Source organism: Homo sapiens, chromosome X (genome assembly GCF_000001405.40).
Source record: "Homo sapiens chromosome X, GRCh38.p14 Primary Assembly".
NCBI classification, from domain to species: domain Eukaryota; kingdom Metazoa; phylum Chordata; class Mammalia; order Primates; family Hominidae; genus Homo; species Homo sapiens.
In genome coordinates this window covers 71347197-71363894 of record NC_000023.11, presented here as the reverse complement: position 1 = coordinate 71363894, position 16698 = coordinate 71347197, and the positions used below count along the sequence as shown (strand labels likewise).

General features: G+C 45.9%; 1 long non-coding RNA gene and 1 pseudogene across 1 annotated transcript; both read right to left on the bottom strand.

Moving 5' to 3' along the window:
* LOC124905198 (uncharacterized) lies at window positions 2062-15931 on the bottom strand. The gene is made up of 3 exons (XR_007068263.1): window positions 15226-15931; window positions 13652-13769; window positions 2062-2490 (listed from the first exon to the last, which is right to left on the bottom strand). It is a non-coding gene; the product is annotated as an uncharacterized LOC124905198 (long non-coding RNA).
* Window positions 10931-11477, bottom strand: RHOG2P (RHOG family member 2, pseudogene; annotated as a pseudogene).
* Window positions 15932-16698: the final 767 nt, after the last annotated feature.

Sequence of the window (16698 nt, the reverse complement as noted above, 5' to 3'; positions counted from 1 at the left end):
GAGCATACCACCACACCCGAATTTTTGTATTTTTAGTAGACACGGGGTTTCACCGTGTTAACCAGGCTGGTCTCAAACTCCTGACCTCAGGTGATCCACCCGCCTTGGCCTCCCAAAGTGCTGGGATTACAGGCGTGAGCCACCGCGCCCAGCTTGGAATGCTTTTTAATGTAGTTTATGATAGTTACGTAGCAGCGCGCACAGTGGCTCACGGCTGTAATCCCAGCACTTTGGGAGGCCGAGGCGGACAGATCACCTGAGGTCAGGAGTTTGAGACCAAGCTGGCCAACATGGTGAAACCGTATCTTTACTAAAAATACAAAAAAATTAGCCAACACGGTGGCGCACATCTGTAGCCCCAGCTACTTGGGAGGCTGAGGCTGGAGAATCGCTTGAACCCGGGAGGTGGAGGTTGCAGTGAGCCGAGATCGCGCTACTGTACTCCAGCCTGGGCAACAGAGCGAGACTCTGTCTCAAAAAAAAAAAAAAAAAAGTTATTTAGTACGATATTGTCTCTTGGATGCTTGTGCTTGAGGAAAAGCAGACTGAATAAAGGTAGAGGCTTGTAGGATGTGGAAGGAGACTTCAGGTCCTATAAATATAAAAGATAACTTTTTTTTTTTTGTAGAGACAGGGTCTCACTATTGTAGCCCAGGGTGGTCTTGAACTCCTGAGCCCAAGCAATCCTCCCGCCTTGGCCTCCCAAAGTGTTGGGATTACAGGTATGAGCCACCACACCTAACCTAAAGATACAATTCTTTTTTTTTTATCTCCCAGCCTGCTCCCAGCCGAAAGATACCATTCTTGATTCAAAACATGGTTTCATATATTCACATTGTTCGGTCCAAACAGTAAAATAAAAAGTTTTTAAAAAATAAAAATAGGCTGGGCACGGTGGCTCACTCCTGTAATCCCAGCACTTTGGGAGGTCCAGGCGGGCAGATCACCTGAAGTCAGGAGTTTGAGACCAGCCTAGCCAACATGGTGAAACCTCGTCTCTACTGAAAATACAAAAATTAGCCGGATGCGGTGGTGGGCGCCTGTAATCCCAGCGACTCGGGAGGCTGAGGCAAGAGAATCGCTTGAACCCAAGAGATGGAGGTTGGCAGTGAACTGAGATCGCACCACCACACTCCAGCCTGGGCAACAGAGCGAGACTCTGCCTCAAAAAAAGTTATTTAGTACAACATATTGTCTCTTGGATGCTTGTGCTTGAGAAAAAGCAGATTCAATGAGAGGTAGAGGCTTGTAGGATGTGGAAGGAGACTTCAGGTCCTATAAATATAAAAGATAACATAATATTCTTTTTTTTTTTTGGTAGAGACAGGGTCTCATTATGTAGCCCAGGGTGGGCTCCTGAGCTCAAGCAGTCCTCCCGCCTTGGCCTCCCAAAGTGTTGGGATTACAGGCATGAGCCACCACACCTAACCTAAAGATACCATTCTTGATTCAAAACATGGTTTTATATATTCACACTGTTCTGTCCAGAAAGTAAAATAAAAATTTTTTAAAAAATAAAAATAGGCTGGGCACGATGGCTCACTTCTGTAATCCCAGCACTTTGGGAGGCCCAGGTGGGCAGATCACCTGAAGTCAGGAGTTGGGACCAGCCTGGCCAACATGGTGAAACCCCATCTCTACTAAAAATAGAAAAATTAGCTGGATGCGGTGGCGGGCGCCTGTAATCCCAGCGACTCGGGAGGCTAAGGCAAGAGAATCGCGGTTGGCAGTGAACCGAGATCACGCCACTGCACTCCAGCCTGGGCAACAAAGCAAGACTCTATCTCAAAAAGAAATGTTTTTAAAAATAGGCCGGGCACAGTGGCTCACGCCTTTAATCCCAGCACTTTGGGAGGCCAAGGCAGGTGGATCACTGGAGGTCAGGAGTTCAAGACCAGCCTGACCAACATGGTGAAACCCCATCTCTACTAAAAATGCAAAAAAATTAGCTGGGCGTGGTGGCACATGCCTGTAATTCCAGTTACTTGGAAGGCTAGGGAAGGAGAATAGCTTGAACCCGGGAGGCAGAGGTTGCAGTGAGTGGAGATCATGCCACCGCACTTCAGCCTGGGCAACAGAGTGAGACTCCATCTCAAAAAAATTTTTAAAAAATGGTTTTACATAAATTTACCTTGTGACCCAACAATTTCACTCATAGTTTTCTACCCACGAGAATTAAAACATATGTCCACACGAAACTTTGTACATGTTCACAGCAGTGTTAATAATAGCCAAACAGTAGAAACAACCCAAATGTCCATCAACTGATGAATAGATAAGCAAAGTATAGGATATCCACATAATGGAATATTATTCAGCAATAAAAAGAATTGTAACCAGGCAGAGTGGCCAGCACTTGTAATTCCAGCTACTTTGGAAGCTGAGGCAGGAGGATTGCTTGATCTCAGGAGTTCAAGATTCAGTGTGGTATGACTGTGCCTGTGAAAAGCCACTGGACTTCAGCCTGGGCAACACAGCTAGACCCCATCTCTAAAAAAAAAAAAAGAAAGAAATGAAGTACTAATGCATGCTACAAAATGAATGTGCATTGAAAACATCCAAAATGAAGTAAGTAAGTTACAAAAGACCATATGTCATATTATTTCATTTATATGAAATACCCAGAGAAGACATCTGTAAAAGAAAGTAGACTAGTTTGTCTAGGGCTAGAGGTGGGAACAGGGATTTACTGAATGAGGCATCTTTTTGGGGTGATAGAAATGTTCTAAAACTGGATCTTGGGGATGGCTGCACAACTAAGTAAATGTATTAAAAATTATTAAATTGTACACTTGAAATGGGTGGATTTTATGTTATGTAAATTATACCTCAATAAAGCTGGGTTTGAATACAAATACATGGTTCTTTCCTTACAAGTGCACCAGCGCTACACAATTACCAGCCAGAATTAGTCAATTTTTATAACAAACAGAAGGATATTTTGCTAAGATGACTGGAAGAGGCAAAGCACGTTAAATGATGTCTTATCTTTACAACTGCAGCCCCTAGTATGGTAATGCTTGTAACATAGTAGGAGCTTAATAATTATTTGCTGAGGCCGGGCGCAATGGTTCATGCCTGTAATCCCAGCACTTTGGGAGGCCTAGGCAGGCGGATCACCTGAGCTCAGGAGTTCGAGACCCAGCTGGGCAACATGGTGAAACCCCGTCTCTACTAAAATACAAAAATTAGCCGGGCATGGTGGCACATACCTTAGTCCCAGCTACTCCTGAGGCTGAGGCACGAGAATCGCTTGAGCCCAGGAGGCGGAAGTTGCAGTGAGCCGAGATCACACCACTGCACTCCAGCTTGGGCTACAGAGTGAGACTCCGTCTCAAAAAAAAAAAAAAAAAATGTCTAAACAGGATCTAGTTGCAGGCACTAAAAAGGATAACACATCAGTTTGAAAAGAGCCCCTATCAGAGCAATATGAATTCTGCTAAAATTGAAGCAAGAACATCAAATTTATGTTCAAGTTTGGATGAAAGAATGGTGAAATCATTGGTGCTTCATGAAAAGTTTATGGGGACAATGCCATAAAGAAATCAGCAGTTGGCTGGGTGAGGTGGCTCACGCCTGTAATCCCATCACTTTAGGAGGCCAAAGCGGGTGAATTTCTTGAGGCCAGGAGTTCGAGATCAGCCTGGCCAACATGGTGAAACCCCGCTTCTACTAAAAATACAAAAATTATCCGGGCGTGGTGGCGCAGGCCTGTAATCCCAGCTTCTTGGGTGGCTGAGGCAAGAGAATCGCTTGAACCCAGGAGGCAGAGGTTGCAGTGAGTCAAGATTGCGCCACTGCACTCCACCCTGGGTGACAGAGCGAGACTCTGTCTCGAAAAAAACAACAACAAAAAGAAAGCGGTTTACAAATAGATAACTCATTGTAAGAAGAGACAAGACAATATTGAAGATGAAGCTGACAGCCGCAGACCATCTATTTTTTTCTTTTCTTTTTTGAGACAGGGTCTGGCTCTTTTTGTTTTTGTTTTTGAGATGGAGTCTTGCTCTGTTGCCTAGGCTGGAGTGCAGTGGCACAATCTCGGCTCACTGCAACCTCTGCCTCCTGGGTTCAAGCAATTCTCCTGCTTCAGCCTCCTGAGTAGCTGTGACTAGGCACACACCACCATGCCCGGCTAATTTTTTAAATTTTTCTTTTTTTTTAGTAGAGACAGGGTTTTGCCATGTTGGCCAGGCTGGTCTTGAACTCCTGGCTTCAAGTGATCCGCCCACCTCAGCCTCCCAAAGTGCTGGGATTACAGGTGCGGGCTACCACGCCCAGCCCTGAGACAGGGTCTGACTCCTGTCCCCCAGGCCGGAGTGCAGTGGTCCAATCTCAGCTCACTGCAACCTCTGCCTCTGGGGCTCAAGCCATCCTCCCACCTCAGCCTCCCAATTACTGGGATTACAGGCACACACCACAATGCCCAGCTAATTTTTGTATTTTTTGTAGAAACAGGGTTTCACCATATTGCCCAGGCTGGTCTCTAACTCTTGAGCTCCAGCCCACCTCGGCCTCCCAAAGTGCTGGGATTACAGGCATGAGCCATCATACCCGGCCTTTCCTCAGTTCATTATGTAAAAAAACTGCGTTTAACGTGGTTAAATTCTCAGGACCCTCAGTTCTTTCAGGATGGACTAAATTGCTGGTATCATTGCTTATGAAAGCGTGTTGGCCGGGCACGGTGGCTCATGCCTGTAATCCCAGCACTTTGGGAGATCCAGACAGGCAGATCACCTGAGGTCAGGAGTTCGAGACCAGCCTGGACAACATGGTGAGACCCCGTCTCTACTAAAAACACAAAAATTAGCCGGGTGTGGTGGCGCATACCTGTAATCCCAGCTACTTGGGAGGCTGAGACAGGAGAATCACTTGAACCCGGGAGGCAGAGGTTGCAGTGAGCTGAGATTGCACCACTGCACTCCAACCTGGGTGACAGAATGAGACTGTCTTAAATATTAATACATAAATAATAAAAATTAGCTTTCCTAATAACTCAGGACCTACCTGTCTAGGAATAAACCATCCTAGCCATGAGAGATCAGACAAAACCTGGAACCAGAGACTAATTTTCTTCTAAAGTGCTTTCTCCAAAAAAAATTTAAAAATAAAAAGGAGGGGCCAGGTGTGGTGGCTCACACCTGTAATCCCAGCACTTTAGGAGGCCAAGGCAGGCGGATCACGAGGTCAGGAGATTGAGACCATCCTGGCTAACACGGTGAAACCCCATCTTTACTAAAACTACAAAAAATTAGCTGTGCGTGGTGGCGGGCGCCTATAGTCCCAGCTACTCGGGAGGCTGAGGCAGGAGAATAGCGTGAACCTGGGAGGAGGAGCTTGCAGTGAGCAGAGATCACGCCACTGCACTCCAGCCTGGGCAACAGAGCGAGACTCCGTCTCAAAAAATAATAATAATAATAATAATTAAATAAATAAAAAGGAGGGAAATGTGAAAGGAAAATATCTTGGGTCCCCCAAATCACTAAGCTAAAGGGAAAAGTCAAACTGGGAGCTGCTTAGAGCAAATCTGCCTCCCATTCTATTCAAAGTTATCCCTCTGCTCACTGAGATAAATGCATATCTGATTGCCTTCTTTGGAGAGGCTAATCAGAAACTCAAAAGAATACAACCATTTGTCTCTTATTTACCTATGACCTGAAAGCACCCTCTCTGCTTGGAGTTGTCCCACCTTTCCAGACCGAACCAATGTTCATCTGACATATGTTAACTGATGTCTCATGTCTCCCTAAAATGTATAAAATGAAACTGCTCTGACCACCTTGGGCACATGTCATCGGGACTTCCAGAGGCTGTGTCATGGGCTCACATCCTCAATCTTGGCAAAATAAAACTTTCTAAATTAACTGAGATTTGTCTCAAATTGTCAGGGTTCACATGCCCAACCTGGACTCTCCACAGCCATTAGACAACCAATGGTGTCAACAGTGAAGAGCTATCCAAAGTTAAGGGTGCAGTGATGAAAGAAAAGCAAAAAAAAAAAAAAAAAAAAAAAAAAAAAACCACTTTAGCCCATGCACTTTAGCCCATGGTGAGAGAAAAGGGAAACCAGAAGAAAAGGAAAGAGAATAGGGAGCTTATGTAACCTTTTATCTTCTATCAATACTTGATATCTGCTTGACTTTCAGGTTCCAGATTCTCCAAGAGTAGGCTTGACAGATGTATCAAATAAAAACACAAGATGGCCCATTAAATTTGAATTTCAGATAAACAATAATGTTTTAGTGTATGTTCCAAATACTGCATGGTATATACACTAAAAAATTTCTGTTGAAAAAAATACAGTTTGGGGATTTAAAAAAATTCTAGAAAATTATCTGTTTATTTGAGGTTCAAATTTAACAGGGCATCGTGTATTTTATCTGTCACCCCTATCCAGGAGGCTATGCTGACCAAACCTTGTCAAAGAGCAACAGGGAGGCTACCACAGAACAAAGCACAGACACCTTACCCACTGCAGGGGGTGGGGACCAGGCAATCCTTTAGCTTCATTTCCCAAACTCTCAAAAACCCAATGCTATTTGGCAGGGAGCATGTGTGCACAGTGGAGTTATCAACCACTGTGCGCTAGGTGAAGAAGTAAGTTTTCCTTCCAGATCAAATGAAAAAGGTCAAAAATACAAGCAGGGAAGAGAAGCAGGCCCACTAGGACATGGAATCTGACTTTTTTTTTTTTGAGATGGAGTCTCGCTCTGTCGCCCAGGCTGGAGTGCAGTGGCCTGATCTCTGCTTACTGCAAGCTCCGCCTCCCGGGTTCACGCCATTCTCCTGCCTCTGCCTCCCGAGTAGCTGGGACTACAGGCGCCCGCCACCATGCCCGGCTAATTTTTTGTATTTTTAGTAGAGACGGGGTTTCACCGTGTTAGCCAGGATGGTCTCAATCTCTTGACCTCGTGATCCACCCGCCTCGGCCTCCCAAAGTGCTGGGATTACAGGCGTGAGCCACCGCGCCCAGTCGAAATCTGACTCTTATTGCCCTGGAGCAAGCTTAGCAACTCCAGCAAAACTTGAACTGCTTTATAACCACAAGGGGAACGACCTCAGTGGCTAGAGATATAGATCTGGGCCAGACTCGGTGGCTCACACCTGTAATCCCAGCACTTTGGGAAGCACAGGCGGGTGGATCACCAGGGGTCAGGAGTTCGAGACCAGCCTGGCCAACATGGTGAAACGCTGTCTCTACTGAAAATACAAAAATTAGCTGAGTGTGGTGGCGGGCGCCTGTAACCCTGGCTACTTGGGAGGCTGAGGCAGGAAAATCGCTTGAGCCCAGGAGGTGGAGGTTGCAGTGAGCTGAGATAGCACCACTGCACTCCAGTCTGGGTGACAAAGTGAGACTCCGTCTCAAAAAAGAAAAAAAAAGATATGGATCAAACATGCTAAAACTCTCTTGGAGCAACTAAAAGACCTCAAAAGACACACAGAGCTGAATAAACACACAGGGAGATGTTCCAAGCAGGGAAGGACAGGAAGCAAGCAAGGCAGCCTGTGTAGACTCAGAACAGCTAAACCCAGACACAAGGGCAGAAGAGAAGTCTCAGAAAAAGTACAGAACTCCAACAATGACTGGCAGGACAGTATTTTATTTGTTAGTTTTATTTAGGGGGTTAACTTATTTTTTTCTCCTTTTTCTTTTAATGTTTAATAGAGATGGGGGTCTCCCTATGTTGCCCAGGCTGCTCTGAAACTCCTGGCCTCAAGCGATCCTCCTGCCTCAGCCTCGTGAGTAGCTGGGATTACAGGAGTGAGCCACTGCACCCTGTTGTGGGTTAACCTTGAGTGGTCTATCCTTAAAGCTGAAAGTGACAGAGGGGCCACACGGAAGACTTAGACACAAGCTTTTTTTCAGAGGGATTGGTAATTCCACATCACAAGGCCCATAGTGTTATCAGGATGTGATAGCAGATCTCACTGTCAGATCCCACCTCCAATGCACTACTATCATGACTAAGTGCCAGACCCATCTCCCGAAGCAGAGGAACAAATAACAAGATCATGCTGATAAACATTTGTCTCAAAGGCATGAAGAGGAAAGCATCAAAAAGAACAAGACTACATTATGCTTTTTGGTTTTACAGCCTCTTCCTTGGAAATTCCTAGTTCCCATTAACCCATTCTTTGAAATGGTATCAGCCAGGTGCAGTGGCTCACGCCTGTAATCCCAGCACTTTGGGAGGCTGAGGCGGGTGGATCACAAGGTCATGAGTTCAAGACCAGCCTAGCCAAGGTGGTGAAACCCTGTTTCTACTAAAAATACAAAAAGTAGCCCGGCGCAGTGGTGGGTGCCTGTAATCCCAGCTACTTAGGAGTCTGAGGCAGAGAATTGCTTGAACCCGGGAGGCGGAGGTTGCAGTGAGCCGAGATCACGCCACTGCACTCCAGCCTGGGCGACAGAGCGAGACTCCATCTCAAAAAAAAAAAAAAGAAATATTGTCACCAAACATATTAATAGGTGTTGCATGGGACCAACAAAAAAATTCAGTGGTGAAATAAGTTTGAGAAATGTTACATACATCATATTAAGTTATAAAATCTTGCCATTAAAGAACCTGTTCAGTTTTATTTATTTATTTGTTTATTTTTGAGATAGAGCCTCTCTTTGTCACCCAGGCTGGAGTACAGTGGTACAAACCCAGCTCACAGCAGCCTCAACCTCCCGGGATCAAGTGATCCTCCCACCTCAGCCCCTCCAGTAGCTGGGACTACAGGCGCACACCACCACACCTGGCTAATATTCACATATTTTGTAGAGACAGTTTCGCCATGTTGCCCAGGTTGGTCTAAAACTCCTGAGCTCAAGCCATCCACACGCTTTGGCATCTCGAAGTGCTGGGATTATAGGCATGAGCAACCGCGCTCAGCACTATTTTAAATTGCTGGTTCTTGAGCTTATTTGATGACAGAACCGTTTTTTCCTTTTTTTTTTTTTTTAATCCCCAGTAGGAAGAACAGAGTTCTGTTCTTCTCACAGAACTCTTATAAGGAACATCTATTACCAACTCACAGAACTTTAAAAAATGCTCCTAAACCATTTTTGTGAACATGTCTCATCTCAAGAATGGGAGAAACATGTCAACACTGGGAACACCCAGGAATTACACATAATATGGTTTTATTTATTTATTTATTTATTTATTTATTTTTTTGACACAGAGTGTCACTCTGTTGCCCAGGCTGGAGTGCAGTGGCGCTATCTCAGCTCACTGCAAGCTCCGCCTCCCAGGCTCACGCCATTCTCCTGCCTCAGCCTCTGGAGTAGCTGGGACTACAGGCACCCGCCACCACGCCCAGCTAATTTTTTTTGTATTTTCAGTAGAGACGGGGTTTCACCGTATTAGGATGGTCTCGATCTCCTGACCTCGTGATCTGCCTGCCTTGGCCTCCCAAAGTGCTGGGATTACCTGCGTGAGCCACTGCACCTGGCCCATAATATGGTTTTCAAAAATTAGTCGGCCAGGCACGGTAGCTCACACCTGTAATCCCAGTACTTTGGGAGGCCAAGATGGGAGGATCACTTGAGCTCAGGAGTTCAAGACCAGCCTGGGCAACATGGTGAAACACCATCTCTACAAAAATACAAAAATTAACCAGACATGGTGACACGCACTCATGGTCCCAGCTACTTGGGGGGCTGAGGCAAGAGGATCCCTTGAGCCTGGGAGGTCAAGATGGCAGTGAGCCATGTTCATGCCACTGCCACTGCAGTCCAGCCTCCATGGATGACAAAGCGAGACTCTGTCTCAATAACCGAAAAAAAAAATTCATATATGAGAAAGTTTAAAGCAATGAGATTTAAAAACTGGATAACCGGCCGGGCATGGTGGCTCACACCTATAATCCCAGCACTTTGGGAGGCAGAGGCAGGCGGATCACCTGAGGTCAGGAATTTGAGACCAGCCTGGCCAACATGGTGAGACTCCGTCTCTACTAAAAATACAAAAATTAGCCAGGTGTGGTAGTGCGTGCCTATGGTCCCAGATACTCAGGAGGCTGAGGCAGGAGGCAGGAGAATTGCTTGAAACTTAGGAGGCGGAGGTTGCAGTCAGCCAAGATCGTGCCACTGCACTCCAGCCTGGGTGACAGAGTGAGATTCTCTCTCAAAAAAATAGTAAAAATAAGCTGGGCACGGTGGCTTACACCTGTAATCCCAGCACTTTGGGAGGCTGAGGTGGGTGGATCACCTGAGGTCAGGAGTTCAAGACCAGCCTGGCCAACATGGTGAAACCCTGTCTCTACTAAAAATACAAAAGAATTAGCCGGGCATGGTGGCGGGCGCCTGTAATCCCAGCTACTCAGGAGACTGAGGCAGGAAAATCGCTTGAACCTGGGAGGTGGAGGTTGCAGTGAGCCGAGATGGCGTCATTGCACTCCAGCCTGGGTGACAAGAAAGAAACTCCATCTCAAAAAAATAATAATAACAATAATAATAATAATAAATAAAACCGGATAAACTTGTCCTTCCATGAGGCACTTGCTCAGTGGTAAATATAGCAAGGAAAGCTCCAATTAGATTTAAAAGCAGACAAGCAAAAGTCTACAATGAACAGTCCTAAGCTGCTCTGCTTAGTCATTGCCTGGCCAGGAGAGAAAAGAACAGCACTGAGTGGCACCTCCTCTTACCACTTTGACAAGGGAGACACACACACACACACACACACACACACACACACACACACACACACACACACACACACACCTTCCTCCAAAAGGTCAGACCAAACTTCAAAGCAGCCATGTACAAACAAGTCTGTCTTTGTTCCTCCAAGAGCTGAATATCCTGCAGTCTAGGGTTTCTGCAATAGCCCATGCTGGCACTCTTTAACTGCTGACAAAGGAATATCACCCTTATACTTCTTAGTTGCAGTCCCCAAGTAGCACCTAGAAGCTATAAGAGGATGTACTTCTTGGTGTTCTTTGTAGCAGGGTAAAGCACAGCCCGGACAGCTTCTAAAAATACCTCATGCACCCCATCCTGCATCAGGGCCGAATATTCCAGATACTTCACAGCCCCCAACTGCTTAGCCAGGGAAGTGCCTTGCTGGGGAGTCGTGGGTACTAGGCTCTGCTCCTTCAGCTTCTTCACTGTCTCAAGGTTACTCCACAGGTCCCTCTTGGTGCCTACCAGCAGAACAGGCACATTGGGGCAATGATGGGAGACCTCTGGGTGCCACTTATGCCTCACATTGGCATAAGAGGATGGGTTCCCAGTGGAAAAACAAATAACAAAGATACTGGTCTGGGGTTAGGAGAGTGTTCGCAGTCATCATACTCCTCTTGGCCAGCAGTGTCCCACGTGTTCAGGCTAATGATTTGCCCATCCACGGATGTCTGGACGCTATAGTTGTCAAAGACAGTGGGGGGATATACTCCTCAGGAAAGACATTTGTTGTATAACTGATGAGGAGGCAGGTTTTACCTATAGCCTCATCTCCTACAACCACACATTTGATTGTCTGCATTCTTCCCTTGTAGTCCTATGTACAAGAGAGACAGAAAGAATATTCAGAGATGCTTGGTTAATGTAGGGAGCTATTCTAAACATTTCTCTCTGAGGAGAAGATGAGGAAGATAAGATGCCCCCCACACTCTCTATACCCTTAATGCCATACAAGAGTCAGCTACAAAGGGTTGTATAAGTCAAGAGTTCTTACCCTGGAGTCTGTGGACTACTAGAGGATGGGCTTCGGTAGGTCCTAGAAGCCTCTTCTGAAGTTGTGTACAATACTATGTATATGTGCATAAGTGAATTTTTCTGGAAAGAAGGTCCAGAGCTGTCACCAGTATCTCACAGAAGGCTTTTTAATCTTTGGGTGAGCTCAAAAAGATTAAAAACCATTCATCCACATAGGTATTTGTGTTACACCGTTATCATAAGGTCTGGATCTACTGTATCAAAGGTACTAAAATATTGTAGGTGCTCAATAAATGGTTAGTAATTTTTAAAAATTATCATAGAAGGTTTCCAGGGTTGAATCAAGAAACATGGCTGTCACTTTGGGTCTCTGGCTATAGAGCCAGCAGAGGAACCTCCATTCCTGAAAAACAGAGACATCACAATACTGGAGAGAAAGGCAGACAAGTCACACTCAGCTAGAGAAATGGTTAAGAGGGCTAGGCGCGGTGGCTCACGCCTGTATTCCCAGCACTTTAGGAGGCGGAGGCGGGCAGATCACCTGAGGTCAGGAGTTCGAGGCCGGCCTGGCCAACATGGCAAAACCCCATCTCTACTAAAAATACAAAAATTAGCCATACGCGGTGGCACATACCTGTAATTCCAGCTACTCAGGAGGCTGAGGCAGGAGAATTGCTTGAGCCCAGGAGGCAGAGGTTGCATTGAGCCAAGGTCACACCATTGCATTCCAGCCTGGGTGACAGAGCAAGACTCTTGTCTCAAAAAAAAAGAAAGAAAGAAAAAAGAAATGGTTAAGAGTCTGGGCTCTGAAGTCAGGAGGCAAAACCCAGTTCTCCCTCTAATCTTTGTGAACTTGGGAAAGTTTTGTCGTTTTTTTTTTTTTTTTTTTTTTTTTTTTGGCAGAGTCTTGCTCTGTCACCCGGGCTAGAGTGCAGGGGTGCATCTCAGCTTACTGCAGCCTCTGCCTCCTGGGTTCAAACGATTTTTGTGCCTCAGCCTCCCGAGTAGCTGGAATTATAGGCATGTGCCACCACGCCCAGCTAATTTTTGCATTTTTAGTAGAGACAGGGTTTCACCATGTTGACCAGGCTGGTCTTGAACTCCTAGCCTCAAGTGATCCACCCGCCTCTGCCTCTCAAAGTGCTGGGATCACAGGCATGAGCCACCGCACCCAGCCAGAGAAAATTTTTAACCTGAGGGTTAAATGAAAGAAGGCATGCGTAGTACTTATTAGTCTCTCTCACATAGCCAGTACTCATTAAGTGTTAGAAGCTACTATGTCTTCTTAATAATTCTACTATTCTACTACTGGAGAAGGCAAAAATTCTGTAATATGGTTACAATGCTAGATAAACCAGGAGTCTCATCCCCTTCAACCTTATGTGAGTAAAACTACAGGTCTTAATGCCACCATACTCATCCATTTCTTCATGAATCAGTATTTCACAGTAAATGATATGGCAGAGATGATCTCCAAGAAGCTTGTTTATTATGAGTTCCTATATTTATACCCCCATATTAATACCCCATCAATGCCTTGCCCTCAATTTAGGTCCCGAAGTACTCTACTTTCTGTAGGTTCTTAACTACTGCCCTAATTTCAGACCTAATTCTTATAGCAGTGACTTCTTTAAGTGTCAGAGCACAGAGGAAAGGGCATTAAATAATCATATATATTTGGTTACAGAAAAAAAATTGAGAATCAATTTATTTCTCACCTTGAGGATTTGGGGAAATAGAGACATCCCCCATTCTGTTGTCTCATTAGCTAAGGTCTACATTAGGCCCATATCATAGGCAAAAACAAACACAACACCTCATTTTGGTCAGAATAAAGAAAAGTGAGCCGGGTGTGTGGCTCATGCCTGTAATCCCAGCATTTTGGGAGGCTGAGGTGGGAGGATTCCTTGAGCTCAGAAGTTTGAGGCCAGCCTGGGCAATATAGTGAGACTTTGTCTCACTAAAAATAAAAAAAAATTAGCCAGGCGTGGTGGCACGTACCTGTAGTCCCAGCTACTTGGGATGCTGAGGTGGGAGGATTGCTTGAGCCTGGGAGATCGAGGCTGCAGTGAGCTATGATCACACCATTGGACTCCAGCCTGGATGACAGATGGAGACCCTGTCTCAAAAAGAAAAAGAAGAAACGTGGCTTTCAGAGTATGCTTTCCACAAGCCCACTAGGGGTTGCTCTCTGCCCACACAGAGCCAATTCTGAGTGGCGAGGCCTCCCACCTAGAAGTCTTCTTTAGCACAGGTTCCACAGCTAAAATAAGTCCAGAGCATAATTTAACTCTGGTAGGAAACCACCCCAGGGTATTCACTGACCATCAGCCGGTTCTTTTTCCATCTAGGAATAGGCATAAGGATCAAACACACAAGGTCGATAGAAGAGGGGCACAGTCATCACCACCTTCCTCGAGAATAGCCTTCTTTGACTTTCCTGATCTGGATAAATGTATTTCCCCTCTGAATTCCTACAACAATTACTGTCTGTGCAACTCATTTTCCCAGCTTCCTCTAGGTATCATCCAGTGTCCAACACCTCTGCTCAAAGTGACTGCTTCCAGAACAACAGTGCAACTTAGGCAGTTGCTGAACCAGAGTAAAACTCTTAGGGACAGGCCGGGCACGGTGGCTCACGCCTGTAATCCCAGCAGTTTGGGAAGCTGAGGAGGGCAGATCACTTGAAGTCAGGAGTTCAAGACCAGCCTGGCCAACACTCCAACCTGAGTGACAGAGCCAGACCCTGTCTGAAATAAATAAATAAATAAATAAATAAATAAATAAATAAATAAATCAAACAAATAAATCAGAGATCTTTAGGTATGCTTAAAGGATTGGAAACTGGGAGAGGCCTGGAGCTGTCGAGACAGCACCCCAGAAGGCCCCTGAGTGAGTCATTCACTCCTAACCCTGGTATTACAATGTCTTAAAAGTCTTCCAACCTCATCTACTAAAGCAGTGGTGTCCATATCTTTTGGCTTTCCTGCACATTGGAAGAAAAAGAATTGTCTTGGGCCAAACATAAAATACACTAACGATTCTGATGTGCTAAAAAAAACAAAAAATTGCAAAAAAAATATTGTTTTAAGAGAGTTTACAAATTTGTGTTGGGCCACGGGTTGGACAAGCTTGTCCTAAAGCATCCTTCTCCACAGGTACAGTCTGCCTGGCAGTCAACTGTCTCCTGGGCTAGACACACAATATGAAAGTCCTAACAACAGTCAAGACAAGAGTCCAGCTCAAAGTGGTACTGTTCCTAACACATTCTCCATGTGTCAACCGTCTTCCCACAAGTCTGAGTTTACATCCACTTGAATGGCTCTAACTTTCTGAAACCCAAATAATTCAATAGAAGACCCCATTTTTAATCTACTCTACTTTCTGCAACTTAGTTTATCTACTGAATCAGGGGAGACTGACTTATTTGGTTCAAGACAGGTTAAAAGAGACTCTAGGACACTCCGAGATGAAGCAAGCCACTTGAACCCTCCCCAGCCCTGAGCCAGAGGAGACTATCTTGCACTTGGAAATTTAAATGAAGGACAGGCAAGCCTAGTGATCCATCAACTTACACCACAAGCCCGTTTGACACTTCACACACATCCTTCTCCACCAAGGGTAGTTGATTCCGGGGCTTCACATGGACGTGTGAGGCTGGGACAGAGAGGTACCCTCCATCAGATTCACATACAGGAAAGCTGGCTCAGTCTCCCTGACGTACACACACCTCACCCCATCCTCAAATCCCTTCCATCCAGGGAGTGGCTCATAAGACAACCGTCTCTAAAACAAGCTCCTGGGGGATAGGGAGACTCGGAGAGAGAAGATCGCAGTTAGGGATTGGCTCGGGGGTTCTCAATCCGATCGTTCTCCAGAGCCATTCGAACGCCAGAGCCTCCCGGGCGTCTTGAGTTGGGCTGGGCAGGTTCTGCGAACTGCGACCAAGTCCCACTCCGCTGTCGGACACAGTCTCCACTCGATGCCTGAAACCTCCTGGGAAGTGAAGTTCTAGGGCCAGCCTCACTGTAAGTCACAGGCTTCTACACTACATCTTCAGGTAATCGAGGACTACTTAGATCGCGACCTCAGTACGAGTTACTCAGCCCAGGAACCCCCAAACCTCATCTTTCCCTTGGCAAAGTGAGACCACCCCGTGTTCCCCAGATCCCCAAGTCCTATTTTCTCCTTTGGACTAATATGAACTTAAAGAGACACGGACATGAGAAAGTATTTGAGAGAAAAAAAAAAAGTAAGTAAAGACAATGAGGTAAAAAAAAAAAATTTGGGTGGGCGCGATGGCTCACGCCTGTAATCTCAGCACTTTGGGAGGCCGAGGTGGCGATGGGGGGAGGGGGAGGGGATCAACTGAGGTCAGGAGTTCGAGACCAGCCTGACCAACATGATGAAACCCCATCTCTACTAAAAATACAAAAATTAGCCGGGTATAGTGGCATGCGCCTATAATCCCAGCTGCTCGGGAGGCTGAGGCAGGAGAATCGCTTGAACTCGGGAGGCCGAGGTTGCAGTGAGCCAAGATCATGCCATTGCACTCCAGCCTGGGTGACAAGAGCAAAACTCCATCTCAAAAAAAAAAAAAAAAAAAAAGGCCAGGTGCGGTGGCTCACGCCTGTAATCCCAACACTTTGGGAGACAGAGGTGCGATGACCTGAGGTCAGGAGTTCGAGACCAGCCTGACCAACATGGTGAAACCCCATCTGTACTAAAAATACAAAATTAGCCAGGCGTGGCGGTGCATGCCTGTAATCCCAGCTACTCAGGAGACTGAGGCACGCGAATCACTTGAACTTGCAATGAGCCAAAATCGCACCATTGCGCTCCAGCTTGGGCAACAAGAACGAAACTCTGTCTCAACAAACAAACCAAAAAATAATTTTTTTTAATAAAATAATTCTTAAAAAGATAAACAAAAACACAAACCGAGTGTGGTGGTGCCCGCCTGTAGTCCCAGCTACTCTGGAGGCTGAGTGGGAGAGGATCGCTTGAGCCCAGGAGTTCAAGTCCAGCCTAGGCAACATCGCGAGAGC